Here is a 25044-nt window from a genome sequence, read left to right on the forward strand (position 1 = left end):
GACGCAGGACCACCTCAGATCTCCAGTCCTGCACCTGCCGGCTGAGCAAACGAGGAGACGGGGAGAAAAGCTGTCTGTCGTTCCTGAAGGAACAGGACCTCCGCACTCCAAGAAGGAATCCGGCGCCCAGTGGGGGCTGCAGGAGCAGAGGACCGTGGCGGCAGTAGCAGGAGAGGCAGGAGTAGGAGCAGTGGCTTCTCTGGAGGTGGCACTGTCTGCCCCCTTGAGCCTCTTCCTAACGCAGTCTTGATTCAAAATCCCTGCTCACCACGGATGCACAGTCACAGCTGAAGATTGTAGTTATCTAGGAGGATTCTTTCTTAGTTGTAAATCTATGTTTTATATAGGAGTTTTTTCGTTGTTTCTCTCATTCTTTTTTGAAATTTCATATTACTATTTTTTTTTTTTTTGGTAAGTTCCTTGACATTCGTGTTTTGTGAGTTTGGTTTTACCTACGTATTATGATTTTGGATGTAAATCTGCAACTCTATATACATGTTAAGTCAATGTGATGTTTAATCAAAATATGAATCAGCCATATCTACCACCAATAAAATCGTGTGTTTGTTTGCCTCTATAAATATAGTCTATTTCTTCTTAATTATCTTGCATATTTCTCTTCTTGGCTGGTGTCAAAAGTTGTTTTATCTTGTTCAGGACAGTAGTCATATAAGTAGTCTTAACTTACCCACGTATTTATTGAACAAATCTATATTTTCTTTGTGTGAGGAAAACACATTTATAATTTGAAGGTAATTTTCCAAAAAGTTTGTAACTCGGTATCTCTTTTATGTATCACTTTACAATATTTTAACTGTAATAAAACACAACAAAATTTACCAGTCTATACATTTGTAATTGCATAATTTATTAGTGGTACATATATCCACATTGTTATGCAACAGGCTTCTAGAGCTTTTCCATTGCAAAACTAAAACTCAATACCCATATACGTCAACTGCCCATTTTACCCTCTCCTGAGCCCTTAACATTTTACTTTCCATTTCTGTGAGTTGGACTACTTAAGATATCTCATAAGTGGAATCACACAATCACTGTCACTTTGTTTCCTGGCACATTTCACTTAACATCATGCCCTAAAGGTTTATTGTCATTGCAGCATGTGATAAGATTTCCTTTTAAAATCATATTTCATTGTATGTATATATCATATTTACTTATTTATCTGTCAAGGGACATTCAAGTAGCTTCTACCTTTTGGATTTTTAGAATAATTCTGTCATAAACGTGGGTATGTAAATGTTTCTTTCAGGTCCCGCTTTGCACATTTAGATAGATATCTAGAAATGGTATTGCCAGACCACATCATAATTCCAATTTTAATAATCTGAGGAAACTCTGTACTATTTTTCATAATGGCTGCATGATTATTTTTTCCACCACCCAGTGCACAAATATACCAATTTCTCTACATCCTTGAAAACACTTGTTATTTTCTCTTATTTGATAGTGGCCATCCTAATGAATGTGAGGTAATATCTCACTGGGGTTTTGCTTTTCATTTCTCTAAAGATTCATGATTTGCAGCATCTTTTAAAATTCCTCTTGGCCGTTTGTATATCTCCTTTGTAGAAACATGTGGGTGTGAAGGATTACCTAGGTGCCGAGGCAAGAGACTGAAGGTAAAAACTGTTGCAGTATAATAAAGAAAACAGTTAGAATAAAGAATAGTTATAACACAAATTAGATATAGAGATGATCATGGACATTATCCATCATTAGTATAAACATTATTAATCACTAGCTTTTAATATTACTCTTTGTTGTATTACTCATATAACCAAGGAATAACTGGTGGGTATAGGGTCAGGTGCTGAAGGGACATTGTGAGAAGTGACCTAGAAGGCAAGAGGTGAGCCCTCTGTCACACTCACATAAGGGCCGCTTGAGGGCTCCTTGGTCGAGCGGTAATGCCAGTGCCTGGGAAGGCACCTGTTACTTAGCAGACCATGAAAGGGAGTCTCCTTTCCTTGGAGAAGTCAGGGAACACTCTGCTCCACCAGCTTCTTGTGGGAGGCTGGATATTATCCAGGCCTGCCCGTAGTCATCCGGAGGCATAAACCCCTCCTTGTGGTGCTGTGTTTCAGTGGTCACGCTCCTTGTCCACTTTCACGTTCCTCCCATTCTCCTGGTTCCTCTTTGAAGTTCTTAGTAGATAGCGGTAGAAGGAATAGTGAAAGTCTTAAAGTCTTTGATCTTTCTTATAAATGCATAGAAGAAAACACTGATGTATGCTGCCTTCCCTCTCTGCTTTGGCTGCCTAAAAGGGAAGGGCCTCCTGTCCCATGATCACATGACTTGCTTGACTTTATCAATCACCTGGACGACTCACCCTCCTTACCCTGCCCCCTTGTCTTGTATGCAATAAATATCAGCGTGCCCAGCCATTCGGGGCCACTACTGGTCTCTGCGTCTTGGTGGTAGTGGTCCCCCAGGCCCAGCTGTTTTCTCTTTATCAGAAAGCTTACTACATTTGAGGTAGTCCCATTTTCCTGCTTTTTTCTTGTTACTTCTGCTTTTAATGTCATGTTAAAAAAATTATCAAGACAAATGTCATGATTTTTACCTTATATTTTAAGACTTTTATAGCGATCTTACTTACATTTAAGTGTTTAAGATAGTTTTCTATATGGTGCAAGTGAAAAGTCCAATTTTATTTTCTTCCATTTTGATACTCAATTTTAGAACACTATTCTGTTCTTCCCTGTTGTTCGGTCATGGCAGCCTGATTGAAGATTATTTGATGATATTCATAAAGGTTTATTTCTGGGTTCTCTATTCTGTTCCATCATCTATTTGTCTTTCTGTTTGTATTGCTATAGCTTTATAATATATTTTGGAATCAGGAAGTGTGATACCTCTAACTTTGTTCTTCTCCACAGCTACTTTGGCTACTCATTGTCCCTTGAGATTCCATATGAATTTTAAGACTTAATATTTCTGAAAAAAATGTAACATTGGGATTTTGATAGAAAATACTTTGAATTTGTGCTTCACTGTGAGTAGTATTGACATCTTAATAATATTAAATTTTCTGACCCTTGAACAAGAAGTCAAGAGTGTTCTGTTTTAAGTTTCACATATTTTTTCATTTGCCAGTTTCCTTCTGCTTGTGATTTGCAGCTGAGGTCTTTTTACGCTGCCCATGCTGGTCTCCAACTTTTGGGCTTAAGCTATTCTCCCTCCTCAGCCTCCTGATGTGTTTCAATTACATGGATGAGCCACTGCACCTGGCCTCTTTATTGTTTTTCTGATATTTTTAGGATTTGAAGGTAATTTTTGAAAAGATTGATAAATATGTATCTCTTTAGAAAGTTTTTCACTATTAATGTAGTCAAAACCACATAAAATTTACCATCTTAAATATTTTAAGTACATAGTTAAATAATATTAAATATATTCACATTGTTATGCAACATATCTCTAGAATGTTTTTATGTTGCAAAACTAAAATTCAATAGCCATGAAACAACAACTACCCTTTTATCTCCTCCCCTGAGGCTCTGACTGATACTATTCTACTTTCTGTTTCTAAGAGTTTAACTATTTTAGATATTTAACTGGAATCACACAGTGTCCTTTTATGACTCATTTATTTTATTTACATAATGTCCTCCAGATTTATCCTTAGTGTAAAAATAATCAGATCTCCTGCTTTTAAAAAACTGGATAATATTCCATTATTTGTATATTCCAATTTGTCTTTATTCACTGATTCATTGAGGGACATTTGGGTTGCTTCCACCTATCAGCTGTTGTGAATAATGTTGTGCAATGAATATGGATATACAAATAACTCTTCATTTGGCCATATATATGACAGTTTATTTCTGTGCTCTATTCTGTTCCATTTGTCTGTGTGTCTGCCTTTATGTCAGTACTAAATAGTTTGGTTACTGTAATTTTGTAATACATTATAAAGTCAAGGAGTGTGATGCCTCCAATATTATTTCTTTTTTTGAAGGTTGTTTGGCTCCTGAGAGTCACTTTAGATTCCATATAAGTTTTAGAAATGTTTTTTGTATTTCTGCCAAGTGAAATGACAGTTAAAATTTGATAGAGATCTCATTGAATCTGTAGATCATTTTGGGTAGTGTGGACATCTTCACAATATTGTCTTCCAACCCTTGAACGAGAGCATGCAGAAGAGTGCGTTGTTTAATTTCCACATATTTGTAGATTTTCCATATTTCTTCTGCTATTGATTTCTAATTTTATTCCCTTGTAATAAAAAATGATTGTAATATTTTAATCTTTTTTTTGAAACAGAGTTTTGCTCTGTTGCTCAGGCTGGAGCACAGCGGCTCAATCATGGCTAACCAGAGCCTCGATCTCCCAGGCTCAAGCAATCCTCCCCCGTCAGCCTCCTGAGTAGCTGGACGCACAGGCATGTGCCATTATGCCCAGCTAATTTTTAAATTTTATATTTTCTAAAGAGAGGGTCTCTTTATGTTGCCCAGGCTGGCGCCGAACTCCTAAACTCACTAATCCTCCCACCTCAGCCTCCCAAAATGCTGGAATTATAAGAATGAGCCACAATGCCTAGCCCATATTTTAACATTTTAAAATTTGGTAAAACTTGTTTTGTGTCCTAGTAGGTTATCTACTCAGGAGAATGTTTCATGACCTATTGGAAAAAGTGTGTATTCTGATATTGTTGTGTGAAGTGTTTTTTTTTTTCTTTTTTTTCACTTCTATTTGTAGCCTACACAGACCTATTGGACTGAACAAAGCAGGGTGAATGCAGGAATAAAAGACAAGAGACAAAGGGGTATATTTGGAAAAAGGGGTCAGGGGCACCTTGCCTCTAGTGGACAAGGTACCTGAGCTTTACACAGCCCTCCATATTTATTAGGTAAAAGAGATAGTGAGAAGGCGGGGGTGGTTTTCCACCAGCAGCTTGATTCACAGCTGACTCGAGAGACTGCATTCTTAGAACAATAGGCACTGGATTTCTCAGTAGATAACTTCAAGGAGCCTGGTGCCAGGGAATGAGGCCCTCAGCAAACCTTTTGGTGGCAGGGCAGTGTGAGTTTGCCCACATCCTGCATTCATGATAAACAGTTTGCTGTTTGATCATATAGCCTCCAGTGGAATGCTGAGTTGGTCATGTCCCATGGGCCTTCAGCTTCCTGAATCTATTCACTGTGATGAGTGTTTTCTATATGTCTGTTCGGTTTACAGAGTTTGCTACTGATAGTCGGATAATTATGTCTCTTACTATTTTTGCATAGCTATTTCTTTCTTCATCTGGGTCGATCTTAGCTTTATACATTTGGAAACCCCGATGTGAAGTGTACATATATTTATTATTAACACAGCTTCCCCAGTGAATCAACACTTGTATCATTATATACTATCTTTATTTGTCCTTTAATTCAGTTTTGACTTAATGTGTATTTTGCATAATTATGACCCCTCTTGCTCTCATTTGATTGCAATCTTCCTAGAAGATATTTTTCATACTTGCACTTTTAGCCTATCTGTGTGCTTAGATCTAAAGTGAGTTTCTTATAGACAGCAGAAAACAAATCGTTTTTTCTTTCAATCTCTTTAGCCAATTTACACATTTCTGTTGGAAATTTTACTCTATGTATATATTCATTTTAATTGTGAAAAGAATGGACTACTTCCATTTTGTTAATAGTTCTATTTGTTTCTTGTAGGTATTTTCTCCTCTTTTCTGCTCTTACTGCCTTCCTTTTTATTTAATTGATTTTTATAGTGACATATTTCTATTTAATTTGCCAAGGCCAAGTTGCAAGATAAAAAGTTTGCCTTTAATCTAGTCTCTCCACATCAGATCAAGCCTATGGACAGATCTAAAAACATGAGGTTTCCCTCTTCTGGGGCCCCACTTTTTGGACTGCTGTATGATCTCTGGAGGTTTGATGAGTCCACACCAAGCAAAAGTGGACAGCAGTGTTCCACCTGTGAACACTTGTTTCTTGTAGGCCCTACTGTCTCTCAGGGCACCACCTCTCTTATCCTTTAAACAGGAGTGATATTGGCAGAGAAGGGGCATTCACTCCTATCTGGCAGAAAAGGAGGATTCAGGCCCTTTAACCTCCCTAAGGTCAGAAAAGTCAGAGCCCTCAGAGATGCACTTGCAATGTGGCAGCCACTGGGCACAGGGGCTACTGAACAACTGTATTGTGCCCAGCATGAACTAAGATATGCTGGGGAGAAATACAAGAAAATATTTAAATATTTAGTTACATATACATATGTGCATAAAAATATATAATGCTGGGTTAAAGAAACATATGTCTATGTGTGTGTACGTATATATGTACACATATATATGTTTCTTTAATTATTTCATTCTGATTATATGTTAAAATATTTCAGATATATTGAGCTATGTTGTTAACATCAATTTCACTCATTTTTCTTTTTCTTTATGCTGCTACTAGCAAATTCTAATTGTCACATGTGGCTCACATTTTACTTCTATTGCACATTGGTGCAATAGAGGATTGCCTAATTTCAAAGCTCAGTTTGCCTCAAAAGCCAAGAGGCCAGAAAGATTGTAAAATCTAAAAATTAAAAATAATTGTAATTGGTTGGGCATGGTGGCTCATGCCTGTTATGCTAGCACTTTGGGAGGCCGAGGCAGGCGGATCACTTGACCTCGGTTCGAAACCAGCCTGGTCAACATGGTGAAACCATGTCTCTACTAAAACTACAAAAATTAGCTGGGCAACATGGTGGGTGCCTGTATCCCAGCTACCTGGGAGGGTGAGGCAGAAGAATCACTTGAACCTGGCAGGCGGAGGTTGCAGTGAGCCAATATCTCATCACTGTACTCGAGCCTGGGTGACAGAGTGAGACTCTGTCTCAAAAAAATGTAAATAAAAATAAAAATAATTGTTATTATTTTGTTTCTATTTTGAATAATACACACACACACCCCTCCCCCTTCACACACACACAAATAAGGCAGAGAAAGAAAGAGAGAATCTTGTTCTGTCACCCAGGCTGCAGTGCAGTGGCCTGATCTCAGCTCACTGCAGCCTCTACCTCCCAGGCTTAAGTGACCCTCCCACCTCTGCCTCCCAAGTAGCTGGGACCACAGACACGTGTGACCATGCCTGGCTAATTTTTTCATTTTTTTGTAGAAAAGTTTTGATGTGGGGCCCTCACATTCTGTTGCCCAGGCTGGTCCCAAACGCCTGGATTCAAGAGCTTCTGTCCCCTCAGCCTACCAAAGTGCTGGTATTAAAGGTGAGATCCACTATGCCTGGCCACATATATACAACTTATAAATAAAAATAACCTTATATACAAGGTTAAATGCAAATATCCCACAGTGAAGGCCGGGCTTCAGCATAAGGAGGAAGTCCTGCCTGAAAAAGGCTGCGGCTTGGAACATTTTACCCTGTTGTCATCTGGCTACGAGTTGGCTCACATCTTCTCTCATTCAGAACCTGAAGGGGTGGGGCCTGGGGCCGTATTATCCAATCACTAGTGCTGGGGTAAAAACTGTCTTAAAACTATTCTTTTAATGCTTAGCAATACTAATTTTTAGTGAGAAACTTAAGATTACTTAATTTAACATAACCAGACTTTAAGATTTTAAATTACTAAAAAAAAAAAAAAGAAACTTAAAATGATGACAGAGTTACTTCCTCTAATGTTTTTTGGTGAGGGTTTCAAATACCTATGTCATATATTGAAACCTACAGTTCTATAAGCCCTACCCTTAAATCAAAACAACCCTGATGCTATTGTGAACAGGTACTTAGCACAAATCCTACCCTTAGGCAAATTTATATAGTGATTTCAATTGTCCTTCACATTCCCTTTCCTGTGATAAGTGTCTGGGTTTAGGGGGTCACAGTGTGAGGTTCCACCATCTTCAGCTATCTGAGACATAGCTTCTATTAATAAATGTTCCTCTTAAATGTTTCTTTCTGAGAAACTTGATTTGTCAGCCTCATTCTTCAAACTCTCAGCTCCTTTGGCCTTTAAAGGTAGGTTTATATATATATATATACTCACAAGAAAACACCCTCATATATATAGTCTGTCAATTTCTCAAACATTGTTATGTGGTTCATGACTGTAATGTGTGCCACATGTAGTTTTGTACATGAATAGTATATTTTTTATAGCTACTTTCTATTACACATCACTAAAATACATGTTCAGTAAGTGCTCACTTAACATCATTGATAGGTCCCTGGAAACTGACTTTAAGTGAAACAAAATACTATATGCCATGGAAAATTAACTCTTGTTTATATCAATTAGCCAATGGTAAAATTGGTTTTATTATATAGTACATTGTTTTACTTAAAGTCACAGTTTCTGAGAATCTATCAAAAAAGGGAGAACATACTGTCATTAGTATTACAGTATATGGTACATTATAGCATTACACTATTATAGTATGTTATTGTAGTCTTAGCAATTGGTAGTATAATGTGTTTCAGTTTCTCCCAAGGTCACAGAATTATCCAGACCAACCAATAACAACTTCCTGTGGGAACCAGGTGCATCTCACCCTCTTGATACTACAAAGCCTTCCCCAACACCCCCTGTTTGTTCTCTCTGCTCCCAAGTGCAATCCCTGTGTGGGTCTGTATACCTTATATAATTTCCTTCTTCCATGATTATATGTAACGAATAACTGCTGTCAATCTCATTTGTCCAATGATTGGTGCCATGGTTTTAACTGTTCCAGTAGTACAAGGGTGGTAATTTATCCCTCACCAATGGGGTAAAGGGGAGGCTAATCAAACAATTCACAATACAAACTGGATTAACCAACTATGACTAAGGACATCGGCTCAACTTTAACTGCTTTTGGCCTACTGATTTCATGATACATTAAAAGTCACCTCAGTCAGAGCCACCAGTTTCTGGTGGGCTTTTGCTTTGGTCTAAATAGCCATTTGTGGCCTTTATCATGAGTTGCCTTCCCTGACCACATTAAAGCACACTCATCACCTAGACATATATGGTCAGTTGACTCTGCTGCAGCCTGATGTGTCATCATATTTAGCCTTTGTTTGGCATGCAGCTTGCAAGACACTTGCCTTTCAAGGCAGTGAAAACACAGAACCTTAATCAGTGAGTACTTCAGTCCTGATTACCAAGAGTCAGGCTATATCCCTGTGGTCACTTCATCTGGTCTGCTTACCATTACTAAATGCCCGGGTAGTCATATGAACATTGCTTATTATTGCACACTCTCAGGAAAGGCCCAGGGACGGTTTTTTGTAAAATTGCAAAAAACAAAAAGGACTTTTACTTTGGAGAGAATTATGCACGTCACTCAGTTGCTCTAACAAGTGCTACCGTCATGGGAGCAAGAACAGTGACCTTGTCTTTCCTGAGCTGCCGCTTCCTTTGCTCCTGTCACATGCACTCTCACGATGAGGGGCTCATTCCTTGTGCCTTATGGTTCAGGCACTGATGAGAAATAAAAAAGAGAAAGATAACTTAATATTAGTCCCTCCCAAAACTTACTGGGTAATTCTCTCATCCTAAATCCCCTACTCATCGTGTAGGCTTTTAGCACTGCTGCTTACCAGTATGCTAAAGGTGCAGACTTAGGATCAGAAGTTTGATGAACTCAAACAAAAAGACCACAATGCATATGGGTGCTAATCCCAGTGAAATGGAGTGGCAGTAAACACCTTCAACCAAAGAGAAAACAGATCACAAATAAACAAATAATGACACAACTCAAGAAACTAGAGGAGGAAGAACTTATCCCAACGTTCCCAGATAATAAAATTAGTAAAAAAAATCGGAGCAGAAATGAATACACTGAAGATTAGAAAAACAATAGAAAATGTAGAAAAATTGTAAGAGCTTGTTTTATGAAAACATGAAGTTGGCATATCTTTAGCTAGACTAAGAAATAAATGCTTAAATAAATAAAATCAGAATTAAAGGGAATACATTACAACTGGTAAAACAGAAATAAAAAAAGGTCATAAGACTGCTATGTACACAGACTCCTATGTACAATGATATCCCACCAAATGGGATAAGGGAGAAGACATGAATACATTTCTAGACAAGTACCACCCACCAAGACTGAAGCATAAAGAAATAGAAAATATGAATAGATCAGTAATGGGTAAGGAGTTTAGATCTGATGACTTTGTTGCTGAATTTTACTAAACATTTAAAAAGAACCAAATCTTTGAAAAAATTGAAGGAGGAGGAATACTTCCAAACTCATTTTATGAAGCCAGCATTACACTGATACAAAAACCAGAGATGGACATTACAAGAAAAACAATTACAGGCCAATATCCCTGATGAACATAGATGAAAAATCATCCGCAACGTAGTTGCAAATGAAATTCAAAAGCACTTTAAAAGGATCATTTATTATGATCAAGTTGGATTTATTCCTGGGATGCAATAATATTTTAATATGTGGAAATCAATAAATGCCATACTCCTTATTTACACAACAAAAAGATTAAAAATCATGACTTTTTTATGCATGCCTAAAATTATTTTGACAAAATTTAAAATCCATTCCAAATAAAATCTATAACAAATTAGGTATAGAAAGAATATACCTCAAAATAAAGAGATATGTTCTTTATAAGCTATAGGACAATCCCATGGTTAACATTATTGTCAATGGTGAAATTTTGGAATTGTTTTTAAGATTTATTATAAGAAAAAGATGCCCACTCTCACTACTTCTTTCAACACCGTATTGGAAATCCTGCTCAGAATCTAAGACAAGAGAAAAAAGAGCATTTAAATAAGAAACAACAAGTTCTTCTATTCATGGAGATTAACGCTCAGGTTTTTGCAGATTAGATTTAACAGCATGAAATCTGTACCATCCAGGAATCAAAGGATATAGGACTTTAGGGCATCAATTATTAAGAGGCTATAGGAAAGCAGAAATGCTCCTGGATGTTTCCATTGTCCACACACAAAATTTCAACAGACCAGCCCCAGGAAGTAAAGGCACATTCCTGACTACTGTTAGTTGATGAGCTTTTCACCAAAAGCAGAGATGTGAGACCTGGCAGGTTTCAAAGACCCCTCAAGTGCTCCATACCTTGAAATTCACTTCCACAAAGCTAGAACACCATCTGTTCCTGAGGGATCAGGTTATCGTCTGTTTCTTTTAGGCACTGGCCAGTCAGGCTTTAGTGGACACGAAGCCACAGATTTTTAGTGTAAAATGCCTAATCTATCATAATCTTTAGGTAGATATTTGGAGGCCTGCACACTTAAATGGGTTGGTGAAATGTCATACCAGACACATGGCTGGGAATTGGGTTTTTCTCCTCCGCTCTTAGCAGCACCTTTGTAACCCAGTGATTACCCCCCTCATGGCTCCACGGCCACATCCGCAAAAAGGGTACTGGTGAACGTGACATTTTCACGAAGCCACAGCCCATGGTCACTCCCTGCAAAGCTCTGAACTTGCGCATTCCCAGGCCAGGCCGTGGTTGTCTTTCCAAGGCGGCTCAGCTTGTGCTTTGCTTGGAGAGAGCGGAGGGCAGCAGCACAGTGACAGCGTCTGGGACCTCAGACCAGTTTCCACAGCCACTTATGAAAGCAGACGGCTCCATGGGCTGGAGGAGGTGGGACGCTCTGGAAAGAACTCGGGTGCGAGTGGGAAAGAAAATCGAGCTGAGCAGCTGGAAGTCGAAGTCGCGTGAGTGAGGACCAGACACTCTCGATTTAGGCAAAGGCGGGGTGCACTTCCCAACAACACATCCTCCTCACTGGCGAGACCAGGCCTGCCCTTCAAGTTCCTCTCCTGATTTAATCCCCTTGGCGAGGGTTTGGCATGAAATCAATGGCCAGCAAGCTTGGTAAACGAAGCCGCCTACACCGCCCTCCCCCTCCCTGCACGGCCGCGCCCCGCCTCCGCTCCTGTCTCAATCTGGGATTGTCCTCCTGTAGCCCCACCATCCACCGTGGGGAACGGTGGAGAGACTACAACTCCCAGTATGCACCGCGATGCGCGCCTCACCCTGCATCTCCCAGCCCGCAGCCAGCTGGCATCCTAGACCCTCTGCCCTGCGACCAACAGCCGGGAGCGGACCAGACACCAGAACTCCCGGAACGGTTGAAGACGGTTCCGCTCCCTGTCCCGCCTTTCGCAGCCCAGCAGTTTCGCCCTGCGGAGAGGAGCCTTGCTGTTTCCAAATCTCTCCTGCTGAAGAGACATTGGAGCTAGGGCGGCTAGTTTCACCTGGTAATTGTGACACCCTGTCTCCTCGAGCTGCAGGCTTTTATGCTTGTCATGTTCGAAGTTTGATACCTTGCAGATCAACAAAGGGCCGGTGGCCTCTCACTGCCTCCGCGGCAGGGTTGTCAAGGTAACGCTCCTCAGACAAGGGTGGGGCGCGACCCGCCCCTTTTCTCACCCCGCCTCCTCCTCAGCCCCACCCTCCTTCGCTCCTCCTCTTGTCACTCCCTTTCAGACATGCGCAGTGCGGCCCGTCCCTAGGGCTGGGTTAAGGGCCGCGGATGTGGCAGTTCTCAGGCCTCTTGGGATCGCCTCAAGAAGCCCCCTCACGAGTGTCTCGATTTCCTGTCAGCCAACAAAGGGCCGTTCGCCTTTCATGGCCTCCACAGCAGCGTTGCCGTGGTAACGATCCTCCGCCGGACGTTGGCCGCACCGCGCCCCTATTCTTGCCCATCTCCCGCTCCGCCCCGTCCCTTCTCGCTCCTCCCTCTTGTCACACCCGTTCAGACATGGGTAGTGTAGCCCGTCCCTAGCGGCGGGATAAAAGTCCTGCCCTTTCACACATGCGCAGTGCACCCATTCCTAGGGGTGGGGCTAAGGGGCCTGCCCTTTCGGAAATGCGCAGTGCAGCCCGTCCCTAGGTGTAGGGTAATGGCGGCCGACCTGGAGGCTCCTTGGGATCCCCTCGAGAAGCCCGTTCATGAGTGTCTGAAACTGTCACTTGACTGCCAGAAGTGAAAACATCGTGTCCCTAGTCACCTGCCATTTGCCTTTTCAAAACCATTTCCTCTGTTCTCTAGGCTGTCACAAATCCTCTGCACCCCAGGAGCGCCGCTTGGACCCCCGGGCTCGCTGCGTGGTCCATATCTAGGTCGGGCCTCTCACGGAGACTTTCCCACCAGTGTAATAAAGAGGAGAAAACGTCACAGCGGAAGGGCCTGACCCTGCTGCATCCACTAAGGAAACAGCTACGGGGATGGGACCCTGGGAGCTGCTGTGGAGCCTCATCCACCGCTTCTCTGACCCCACCCAGGCTGCTTCCCAGGCCTCAGGGTCTTAGTGTGGACCTCCGGGCCGTGATTAATGCAGGTCAGCAGGACCAGAGCGCCCCTTGGTCCCTCCCAACACATGAGGGTAGTTTGTGTGGTGAGGTCAGGGATAGTGTCTGCGCTTCTACCCTGAATAGGGCTCCCTTGGAAAATACTTTAATATCTCTTTTTAAATACCCCCTTGGACCACTTTTAATAGTTTTCTGATAGAACTAAACAGTGATCATTCTCTTAATTCATGTTTCCATTAAGTTTTTCAGGTTAAGTACTGCACGACTACTCGCTTCTGAAACTGATAGACACTGCCTCAGCTCCGTGCAGGGCAGACGCACAAGAGCAGAATCTCCGTGGGACATCTCTCTGGAGCATCAATATTACTGCAGTATTTGGAAGAAACAAATTTAAATAAGTTCTAAGGTGAAGAATGGAACATTTAAGACAAGTCTGGAAAGTCATCTGCCTTTAATAACTGTCGTTTGTCCTTAACGTCAGACTTTCTCCAAGACCAAAACTCTAAGAACTTATTTCCATTCTTACAAATAGTAAAAATGATAAATCATATCAAGTCAATTGAAAGTCCTGCCTGCTGCTTTCCTAAATTGCAATATGGCCTTGGTATGGTTTTATTTGTACTTTTGTGGGGGATTCGTGGATCTTTAGATTAAAAAAAAAAAAATAGGTTTTTGAACAATTTTTGCAAGTTTGCAGCTGTTAGTTATTGATTTATTTTTCCAACCCATCTAATTCTTCTGTCTCTCTCCTCAGGCTCAATAATTCCATGGGTCTCTAAGGCTGTGTTTATTTTCTTTAAATTTTGTTGATTTACTTTTATACTCCATTTGATTTTTTCTATCTCTCACCTTTTCTCAGACTCAGTCATCCCACAGGTCTGTAAGGCTCTGTTCATTTTCTTTAAACTTCTTTTTTTTTTCCTCTCCTCAGATTGGATAAATTATATTGCTATGTCTCTGTTTCTGAACTATAGAAAAGCTCAAAATTATTATTTTTATTTCTCATTTTTTATATGGCTATTTTTTCTCTGCTGATGTTTCACATCTATTCATTTATGAGAATATTTTCCTTTGCCCTCATGAGCGTGTTTATAATAGCTGCCTTCAAATTCTTGTCTGCCGTTTACATCTTGGACATCTTGGAGATGGCTACTGCCTGCTTTTTATCTTGTGTATTTATTACATTTTCACGTGTCTTCACGCATCCCTTGAATTGGAAATTGTGCCCTGGAGACTGTATACAAGACTGGATTAAAAAGACTGGATTCTGTTTTGTCCCTGTGAAGAGTGTTGTTTTTAAAAGATGGTGTTAAATGGGCTGGATTCTATCTTCAATACTTATCTCTCCTATGGAAGTCATAGCCAAAATATGCATTCAGTTTTTATATACACATATTTCATGTATGTATTGTATATAGAAATGTTTCTATAATGATATATAATAATTTACCCAGGATTCATCATTTTTCTGTGTGAGAGTGTTAGTTCAGTTAGCTACTTCATCATTAGTGGAAGCCAGAACCTCAGTTTTGATTTTTGAGTGTAATATAAAAAATTACACAGTATGGATACTTTTACATCAATTTTTTAATGCAATATTATATTTGTGATATTTATGCTGTTACAGATATCTACAGTTTGTTCATTTAAAAAAGTCCTTTTTTACATTGTGGTAAAATATACATAAAATTAACCATTTTAACAATTTTTAAAAGTGCAGGACAGAGGAATTAATCATACTCACATTGTTCTACAACCATCATCCACATTCATAGGGAAATTTGTTCATTTTGCAAAACTCAAACTCTGTTCCCGTTACCTTCCTTTTGGCCTCTAGGAACTACTCTTCTACTTTGAGTTTCTATGAATGGAACTACTGTAAGTACCTCATATGAGTGGAATCATACAATGTAGTAAAGAAGTCACGAGGAAGAATAATACACACTGTATAACATGCTTATTAATTTAAATAAACAGAGATCAGTAGTACATGGTGATTATAGAGAAAGACAGATAAAAAAGAAAAAGCAGTTAGAAGGGTGTGTAAAATTTATCACTATGGTGTCTCAAGTTTTAGAGCAGTGAGGCCCCGGCCCCAGACACATTACTGGTCATGGTGAAGCTGGGAGCCCAGTGCAGCTGTCTGACTCCCAAAGCCAACACTCAGGCCAAATGTCACTGAGCCCTGAGGCACTCTGCCCCTGCCAGCCCAGGCACTCAATGGCCCTGAGATTCACCATGGCCTGTTCTTGGTCTTGAGGGTGTTGCTGGCCTGCTGGAATAGGGGCCCGTCTGACAAAACAAGTAGGAGGAGCTTCAGAAAATAGTGGCAGCTGTGAGGCTACCAGGAGCCACACCTCAGGCTTCCCACTGCCTGCCCAGGGTCCCCATGCAGCAGGCCTAATGTTGACCAGGGAGCTATGGCCCCAGGTTCTCTGAAGCTGGCCACAAGATAGAGTCTTCTCCTAGTCTTTGCTAATCTGCTAGGCCCTCATCTTTTATTCTGACTGTGCAGCTTCATGCACTGGAACCAAACCCCAAATTCCTCCTCAGTCAGAAGATGACGATTATCTCTTGTCACTGAAGCAGCTGCATTTCCTGGAGGACTTTGATCTGGAGACAGAAGGAAGGGCAGGATTCTGACAGGTCCTGGGTGGAAGATGACAAAGGGAACTTGTGGGGGTGTGAAGGGGTAGGGACAATTTCTAGGGCCTTTCTTTTAAGGGGTCCTACCCTCCCCTCCAATCCCATGTAGCCCCAACCTGTTCTCAAGAGTTGGATATAAACAGTCCCTCCTCTAGGAGTTTATCATTGATTCTATTCCCCTAATCAAACCCTCCATTGGGATGGGGCTCCTGCTTCTCTGTGTATCAAACCTTCCCAATAAATCTAAGATGCAGAGGATGGAGCCAAGGAGTGTCTTCCTCAGGGTGGTGTCTGACTTTCACATCCCCACCCTCCCTCAAAGCGACAGCGCCAGCTGCTCACCTTCTTCCTTTATTAGTGTTGATTATATGTTCTTAGGAGGTAGACAGCCAAGATTCATGAGAAAGGCTTCCTGACACAGGACTAGACCTCATCCCTTATACTTCCTATGCTGCACCACCACCAGGGCCACCAGGGTCAGAGCATGTGCATAAAACAGGACTTAGACCTGCATCAGGTTCTGGGCTCCACAGAAGGGACACTGAGGCTCAGTGACCTTTCTCCCTGATTCTCTGTGATGATAGGGAGACAAAGGCCTTGGAAACAAAGAAGTTACTCAACAATTTAGGACCTGCCTGTCTTAGGAGGGGCCCAATTTCTCTCTTCTGCAATGGGTACCAGCTAAGGCAGAGGCTGAGACTTAGCTCTGCAGCTTTACTACTCAAGGAACAGGAAATGGTGTCTTTGCTGGAGGCTCCGTCACTCATAGATAAGACGGAACTGACACTGCCATTTACAGGGGCATCTGGTAGGCTCTCAGGAAAGGGGTTTGCTGAGTGCTGCAGTCTCAGGATTCAGTCCAGGACTCTGTCCTCGCAAGCTTCAGGATCCTGGTCCCCACCCTGCCTGCCTGCCCCAGTCTCACTCACATCTCTATAATCCTCTATGGCAATTTCCAGCATCTGCAGGTTGTTGAGAAGTGTGCCCGGGGTGGGGGGTGGGGGGGGAGGGGAGTGGGGGCACAGCAGCCTGTGTTATCAAGGTGGTAGCAGTGATGAGCACCAATTCTCAGCTAACTGCACAAGACCTCTCCTTTGAACTCTCACCAACCTATTTCTCCTTGACCCCCGTACCCAAGTCTCTCACTCAGAGCATCCAAGGACCTTTCACCTCCTTGCCCAAAATCTTTCCCTCCTCTTTCCACAGCTGACCTCCAAAGACGCTAAGCACTTCTTAGTTACCTCTATGGTGTGATTTTAATAAATCACAAAGTCAGATCGTCCCCACCCTCACTCTTCGTCTAATCTACTCTGAGCCTAGCTCTCCCAGGCCCTTTCTCTAGTCTCTCTAATGAAGGCATTCCAAGCATTGTGGCCACAGGAGGGCAGGGCTGGAGGAGGAAGACACCCAGGTCTCTTGATGTGGAGAACTCCAGCTGGGAGGGAGGAGCCCTGTCCTTGACTCTCTGGAGCCCCTCCCTACCATAGGCCAATTCACCTGCTGCTGCAGCCCCATCTGGACTCTTTAAAAAGGTTCCTACCTAGTAGAGTCAGAAACAGGGTCAGTGAGACTGTGCCTGTCTCACAGTTACACTCCAGCCCCAGCGACCTCAGATCTTGGATAACTGCCTGAGTCAGCCGGTGTAATGCTCCCACCAGCTCCAGTGAGTCCTGATTCTAGATTTACTCCCAGCTTTAACACTCACTGTGTGTGTAACCTTGGGCATGCAGCCAGGCCTTCCTGAAACTGTTTTTTCATCTAGGAAGTGTGATGAGAACAACACCTTCCTCACAGTACCTCCTGAGGACTCAGTTGCATGTGGCTATCACCATTGTTCTCACCATCATCCCTCTCAGGAAGAGGTGGGCACAAGAATTCTGAAGTTTCCTTCATCCTTTGCCCCTTATCATGACCCTGTGAGGCCTGCACAACAGGCTTTCTGCATTTTCCAGTTGAGGAGACAGGCCCAAAGAGGGTGTTGACTTGCCCAGGAGCCCACAGGAGAGGCTGTCTTCTCCTCCCACCTGAAGAGTCTGCCCTACCTGGCTTCACACCACACACCAGCACCATCACTGACCAGGGTCCCATCCTCTGGACTCTGGGATAGATGTTCACATCCCAATCCAGGCCCAGCTGTGGTGGAAAGAAACCTGGTATCTTGGGAGGCCTGGTTGAGCAGTGCCAGCTTGTCCCAGCTTCACTGGAATTGCTATCCCACAAATTGGGTTTGAGGCTATGAAGAAGACTTCACCTCTTCGATGATCCACCGAGAGAGATTCCCACACAGAGCTCTCTCTTTATCCACTCCCTGCAGTTGGCCTGCCAGTGAAATCACACCTGTGCAGTAGTCAGGCCTCCTGGCCCACCCGCCAGCTGCCAGCCTCCAGTGTCTCTGATACCCATGGGTAATCATGCCTTCCTTGGCAAGGCTGCTGAGATTCAGAAGGACCTAAACAGATCTTTGGCTCAGATGGGTTGCTTCAGCCTTGTGTCCTTGGCCATCTTCCCTTGCCTTCCGAAGGTCCCTGCCAGCCTCACTGTACCAAGCCCTGACCCTAGCGGTCTCTCCGTGGGGACCACATCTCACCCACCCTCCATTGCCAGGGCTCCTGCTCAGCTCTTCTCACTTTCCCAGGACAAGCCTGGCTTCACAGACACATCTAGATCCAGCGCTTTTCTCTTTGTGGTGTTCAAAGAAAGAGTATTATTTTTTTCTCTAAATTGACCTATAACCTACTTATTTTGAAGATGTCCAGGCTGCAGGAGATCTCTACCCATCTACCCAGAAGGCATCAGCCCTTGCTTCAGTACCTTCTCATTCCACTCTGTCACTAAATGTTTATGACCTCAAGAAAATTTGAAGAAGCATAAGCAAGTGCAATTCCATTGGTACCAGGGCTGTAAGGGCGGGGCCAGATGGGTGAACCTCACTGGGGATAAATAGAAATTGTGTACAAGATGGACATTTCAAGGTTGGTTTCAAGAAACGCAGGGAAAACTAACTTTCATAGGTGACAGTATGCACAAGTTAAGCTTCCTAACAGCCACAAGTTCACAGGTTCTTCTATCTAAATGTGGCAATGTGTGACGATGTCTGAATGGCCATAATACACATACATAGAGTAATTTATAGCATTCATTTTTGTATTAGAAATTGTGCATTTCAGCCACAAGTTTTTTATACATGATGGATAGTCCCACATTGCTTGAAGATTGGAAGAGAGAGCACTTTATGAAATGTCCTTTTGGACACATTTTCATTGACGTTTCTATGTCCCAAGAGGCAATGAGACAAGTCATGATAAACTGGCCGTGTCTTCTGGGGTTACACCTGAACTTCTTGGTGTCAGGACCGAGGAAACCAAGGACACAGATATGCCAAAGGTGAGGTTAGAGCAAAAGTTTAATGGGTGAGAAAAAGAGAACAGCTCTCTGCTGCAGAGAGGGATCCAGAAAAAAAGAGTTGCCATTCTGCAGTGAAATACAAGTGTTTTTATAGATGAGCTAGTGGGAGGGGGTATGTTATCCACATAGGGCATGAAAAAGTGGTTAGGACCAGGTGTGTCATCTGCTTAGAGCATGAATCTCTGGCAGCTCACACCCCAACCTTTTATTATGCAGGCAGATTCTCAGCCTGAGCTACTCCAAGTTGCTTATCTCTTTTCTACTGTGCATATGCTACAAAGAGGGGTGGGGCCCCCCATGTTGGATATGTCTGGCCCAAGGTGGTCATTTCTACCCATGCAGCTGCAGGCATCCCTGCCCACACAAGCTTCCAGCTTCCTTTTGTATGATTGCAGCCCAATTTTCCAGGCTGCTCTTTGTTAAAGAGAAGTGAATTCCTGGGTTGCTTTCTGTTAGAAGGGACGTTCTGTTGAGAACTCTTTGCTCTATCTGCCTAGCTAGTTTCTTTCTACATCTGCTCTCAATGACAATTATTCAGTTTTAATGGGGTCCTGGGGGTGGGAACAGATAAATTTGAGACCACAAAGTACCTTAGAATAAGAATTCACCCTTTAGTCAGCTTTAGTGTGAGTTGCACATCTATTATAATATTGGCTTCATGCACTACTGAATATAACAAGAAGGGAAAATGTGTATCTTTTAAAAATCTAGATGACAAATGGACTTTCCACAGATTCTTTGTGTGTTCCTGATTTAGAACTTGTTCATTCCACTGTAGTTTGTTTTCATTGAAATCACCAACTGATGAGGAAGCCTAGGCTGGCAAGCAGGACACGGTGGATTATTTGCAGGAAAGGTGTTTTTGTGGGGACCCTAAAGGGTCAGGCACTGCAGCCCACAGGAAAGCCTCAGCCATGATTCTCTGTGGCGTTGCCCTGGTGGGGTAAGGCAGCCATGCAAAGCTCTGATTCCCTGTCCTGAAGGGTGACATTGGCCGGGCAAGCCCCAGCCTTCAGGAAAAAAGGACAGACAAGGGAGTGCTTCACGTTCCGGCCTTGTTCCGGCCTTGTCATGAGCTCCACCGGCAGCCTGCAGTGGGGCACAGCTTCTAGGTGCCTGGTCAGCTCTGGTCCTTCAGGAGGTGAAAATGACTTTTCTCCTGGATTCTCTGCCCTGTTGGCTGGGCCTGGGAAGGACTCAAGGTCTGCATGGCAGTTTCTGAGTCTCCAGCACCCAGCTGTCTCATTGTGATGATGACAGGGAGAATGGCCAGAAGTACCGGGGTGGGGAAAACGAAGAGCCAGCAGGAGAAGGCGAGCTTCCAGAAAGCCCCACCACAAATGCTTAGTGCCTGGGTAGGCACAGGGATTGCTGGGTTTTGCCTGGGAGCAAGTCCATAGGCCCTGCTGGAGATTGCCAAGATAACCACCCCCTGCCAGAGGTCACCAGGGATTGCCTGAAAACCTTCGGAAATGGTGCATGCCCCTATTGCTCAAAAACTGGAAGAAGCTGCAGCCTCAGCAGGTTATCCAGGCCACTGAGTGGGGCAGCGGGCCTACACTGAGTGCACTCCTACATTGGCAGTAGGCAGCTCTCCTGACCCATCCACCAGCTGTCTGCCTCCAGTGAGCAAGATCTTCAAGGCTGATCAGACCTCCAGTTGGCAGGGCTGATGAGATTCAGTGCGACCTGGTCAGATCTTTGGCCCAGATGAGTCACTTGAGTTTCAGTGTCCTGGACCAACTTTCCTGGACTTCAGAGGGCCCCTGCCAGCCTGAGTGAGCCAGGCTTGGCTGCATCTTCCTGGGAGCCCCATCTCACCTGCCCTCCATCCCCAGGGCTCCTGCTCAGCACTTCTTACTTTCCCAGGACAAGCCTGGCTCCAACAGACATCTCTAGATGCTGTGTTTCTCTTTGTGGTGAGCAAAGAAACAGAATGAGTTCCATTTTTTAATTTTTTTCTAATTTTACCTATAACTTATTTATTGTAAAAAGGTTTGGGCTGCAGGAGACCTGACCCACCCACGCAGGAGGCCTCAGTAGCCTCCCAATCCACCCTGTTACTAAATATTTCCACTCCTAACAATATAGGGGGAAGCAGGAGCAAGTGCAGTTTCACTGCACCAGTGCTGTGAGGATGGGGCCAGAAGGGTCCTGCCCAGTAGGATTCAATAGGAATTATATAGAAATAAACATCTCAATGTTTGTTTGGACGGATTGACATGGAGAAATTTAATTTTGATAGGTTCTAGTACACAGAAGTTAAGCTTCCTAACAGCCATGAGTTTACAGCTTCCTCTTTCTGAATTTGGCAGTGTTTTTTGATGTCCAAATTGCCACGATGTCCACACATATTTACAATAGTTTATATTATTCATTTTGTATTACTAATTGTGCACTTTGGCCAACAGTGTTTCATACATCATGGTTGGTTTCCAACCTTGCTTGAAAATTGGAAGTGACAGCCCTTTATGGAATGTTGCTTTTGACACTCTTCCATTTAAGGCTCTGTGTCCCCACAGTGCTACGAAGACAAATAGTCATCACTCTTCCATTTTGAGGGGGCCAGGGTAAGCAGGTGCAATTTGAGAATACAAAGTACCTTGGAAACAGAATCATCTTTCAATCAGTTTTAGTGTGAATTTCATTTACATTAGAATAGCCTGTTCATGCACTCACAAGATTTCAGGGAGGGACAATTGTCACCTTTGAAGAATCAAAGTGACCAACGGGCTTCCCTCAGTATTTTGTTTATTTGTTTCTGGAACTTAGTCATGCCATTGTAGATCGTTTCTTTTGGAATCACTGGGTGATGAGAAACCCCAGGCTGGAGAGCTGGACACCGTGGAGTCCCTGTGGGAGAACTGTTATTAGGGTGGCCTAACTTGGAAGGCACTACAGCCTGTGGGAAAGCAGCATCCAAGATTCTCTCTGGCGTGGCCGGGTGCTGGGTGAGGTAGCCAGCCCAACAGCTTATTCTGTTTCTGGAATGGTGACTCCCAGCCTGGGCATGGCTTCAGTTTCCAGGAAACAGGCATGGGCCAGGGAGCGCCTTACCTGTTTACTGCTGCGATGTGTGGGGCCTGTATCCGCCACTGGGCACTCCACCTCTTCAAGTGGGGTCCTGTGCATTCCTTTTGGAGGCTTCAAAAGACTTTCCTCTCTGACTCCCGGCGTCTTCACCTGGACACTGTAGGACCCCAGATCTGTGTGTTTCCCAAGTGTCTATAGCGCCAGGTGCCCCATTGTGACAGGGAAGATGACCAAATTAAGTGATTAGGGCCGTTTGAAAAAAAAGCAGGAGAGATGCTGTATGGAGGAGGCCTGACATGACTGCCTCTAGCCTGCGGCTGCTGGTGCCATGCGCAGGCCGGACTGGTCTCTGCCAGGGTGATGTGATCCGTTGTGCTGAAGATTCTCACCATTTCCTTCCTTTCCCCATCGGGGACACCTGGGTAACCAGCTGAAGCAGTAGTTCCCCATCCGGAACAAAGACTGCAGACCCTCGCATGGGCTCCAGCCTGCAGGACACAAGCGTGAGCCTTGGAGGACCCCACATACCTAGGTGGTTGTGGGCTAGACCTGTGGCCTTCGCTGGGTTCTTGACTCATTTCTGGAGTGCGAGGGTTTTGTTCTTTTTCAACTGGAGGTGGCAGATGACTGTCCTTCTGGACTTCCTATATGCTCACCTGACCCCTGCGGGACCTGAGATCATTGGGGTTCCCAGGTCTTTATGGCATCACGCCCCCATTGTGACAACAAGGAGGATGACCAAAAGTATGCCGGTGGTTGAGGAAGAGAAAAAAGAGGAGTGGAGTTGCAGGGAGGAGGCTCGAAAGGATCACCTCCAGCCTGGGGCAGCTGGATTGGCGAGTCAGGGGCTGGCTCCTGCCTGGGCAAGACAATAAGCCATGATGAACAATGCCATTATCCTCCTTTTCAGTTGGGGGTACCTGGGCATATCTGAAAACCTTGAAAAAGTGTTTGCATTTTCACAGCTTAAGAAAAGGAAGCAGCAGCAGCTACAGTGGGTTTTTCATGCCTTCCAGTGGCATTGAAGAACCTGCACTGAATGCCACCTGGAAAACAGCCTGGACCTGCACCTTTGGGCCGGGGCACCCGTGGGAGCTCAGCCCTTGCCGCCTCAACCCTTTTTGGATTCTTTTCTCCCCAGACTGTCCCAGAGTTCAGGTCTTCTCATCTCTTGTCTGCCCAGTGAAGGCACAAGGGTGGAAAGGTGAGGGTGTGGAGTCAGGAGCTTTGTTCCAGTGCTGGGCATAGTGAGAAGTCAAAAGAGAGGTTATGATCTCATTGTGCTTGAAGGGGAGAGGCCAAAGCCTAAGACATTCTGCCTTTTTAGGGGAATTACCTTTCAAGGCTTATTTGGTCTTCACTAGCCTTTACATCTGAGGATGAAGGAGTTGAGGCTCTGTTACATGGATGTCTAAAGAGATCATAACTCTCACATTGAACGACACAGAGACTGATAGCTCTAGCACAGTACCTAGGTAATGTGACTCTCTCTTGCTACGTGTGCCCTTCCTACATAAGGAAATGTGACATACCACTGGGCCAAGCACCCAGGAAATGTGACTCTCCCGCCTGTGGCCTGCCTGTATTGGGCAATGTTGTGACACATCTCAGAGCTGAGCACCTAGGTGATGTAACTCCTTTTTTGGGAGCTGTCAATGGAAGGGATTGTGACATATGTTTGGCCAATCACCTAGATGATGTGACTCTCTTGCCTATAACTCAAATTGGGGAGAAATTATATCTTGACAATATTGAGATTTTATGATCATGCACATTAAATGTCTTTCTATTTATTAAGATCTTTTGTGATCTTTCATGGCTCTTTCATTAGAAATTTGTAGTTTCCATTGTATATAGATCTGTGTGTCACAAAGGTCTATATGACAAAACTGAGACAAAGACAAACTGACGGATTCTTCCAGTTTTTGTGGATGGCTCTGGGCTGGGGCGTTCCTTTAACACATGTGCAGACTGTTGAAAACTTTGCTTCAGTCTTCACTTTCTGCTGAGCTGAGCCTGAAGGTCAGCCAGTGCTGAAAATGAGGGTCTTCTTGGGTCTTTAAGAAAATGTGTTTTTCGTGGTTATGCACAGAGTGCTTTGTCAATTTGCCAGCATACCTGGGTGCTTTTTAATAGCCTAATTTGTAAAACAAAACAAAATCTCACGTTAGCTTTTTATTCTTGGCTTTATGTGACCTATTGTATGTGTCGTCTGTAATCTGTTCTCCAGGGGGCTGCTGGCTTTCAGTTTCCTTAAAATACTCCCAAGTAACTCGTGCCAATTTTTTAAACTGATTTTTTTTTCTGACTTAGAGAAAAAAGAGAGCCTTGTTTCAGACCTCTGGATAGCCCTAATACAGATTTTAATGTAACAACACAATACTTTGCAAGTAAGACCTCCTCTTTTCCCTCTGGAACCACTGAGCAGAGGCCCATACTGGCAACTCAGGATGTTGTTTTTAAGACTGCCATCAAGTAAGGGAAGGATTTGGGCAAGGACGTGTAAAAAGTCCACGAGGCTTTTCTCCTGTTCTTCATTGTTTTTCTTGATTTTGTAGTTACATGGTTGCTGTACAACTTGATGGTTTTCAACAGGTTTTACAACATCGTTTCTGACAGTTCTGCTTGGTTTTCCCTGTTTCTGTGGAGGAGCAGGTGTTTGGAGCTGTACATTCTTGACATTTTG

General features: G+C 43.4%; 1 protein-coding gene and 1 long non-coding RNA gene across 8 annotated transcripts; one reads left to right on the forward strand and one right to left on the reverse strand.

Moving 5' to 3' along the window:
• Nucleotides 1-10198: 10198 nt before the first annotated feature.
• Nucleotides 10199-14547, forward strand: TP53TG3C (TP53 target 3C). Of its 7 annotated transcripts, none has more exons than NR_158182.2 (4): nucleotides 11915-12344; nucleotides 12450-12616; nucleotides 13015-13303; nucleotides 13516-14547. NR_158182.2 is itself a non-coding variant. In XM_011545920.2 (3 exons), exons 1-2 carry the CDS (start codon nucleotides 11983-11985, stop codon nucleotides 12484-12486), a joined length of 399 nt encoding a protein of 132 aa, XP_011544222.1. In that variant the 5' UTR covers nucleotides 11915-11982; the 3' UTR covers nucleotides 12487-12616; nucleotides 13524-14547. The 7 variants fall into 7 exon arrangements, 4 of the variants coding, with proteins under 4 accessions (XP_047290471.1, XP_011544222.1, XP_016879080.1 ...); NR_158183.2 differs by having other exon boundaries at nucleotides 13524-14547; NR_110914.2 differs by lacking the exon at nucleotides 12450-12616.
• Nucleotides 14548-19073: 4526 nt separating this feature from the next.
• Nucleotides 19074-25037, reverse strand: LOC124903683 (uncharacterized). Its single transcript, XR_007065054.1, has 3 exons — nucleotides 23695-25037; nucleotides 22383-22846; nucleotides 19074-22178 (listed from the first exon to the last, which is right to left on the reverse strand). It is a non-coding gene; the product is annotated as an uncharacterized LOC124903683 (long non-coding RNA).
• Nucleotides 25038-25044: the final 7 nt, after the last annotated feature.

The sequence above is a fragment of the Homo sapiens genome, chromosome 16 (assembly GCF_000001405.40).
Source record: "Homo sapiens chromosome 16, GRCh38.p14 Primary Assembly".
NCBI lineage: Eukaryota > Metazoa > Chordata > Mammalia > Primates > Hominidae > Homo > Homo sapiens.

Bases quoted from the DNA above. Each gene is read 5' to 3' on its own strand.
- TP53TG3C (XM_017023591.2), top strand. From the start codon at position 11,983: ATGCGCGCCTCACCCTGCATCTCCCAGCCCGCAGCCAGCTGGCATCCT. The intron at 12,345-13,014 runs GTAACGCTCCTC...TCTGTTCTCTAG, and splicing joins TCCGCGGCAGGGTTGTCAAG to GCTGTCACAAATCCTCTGCA.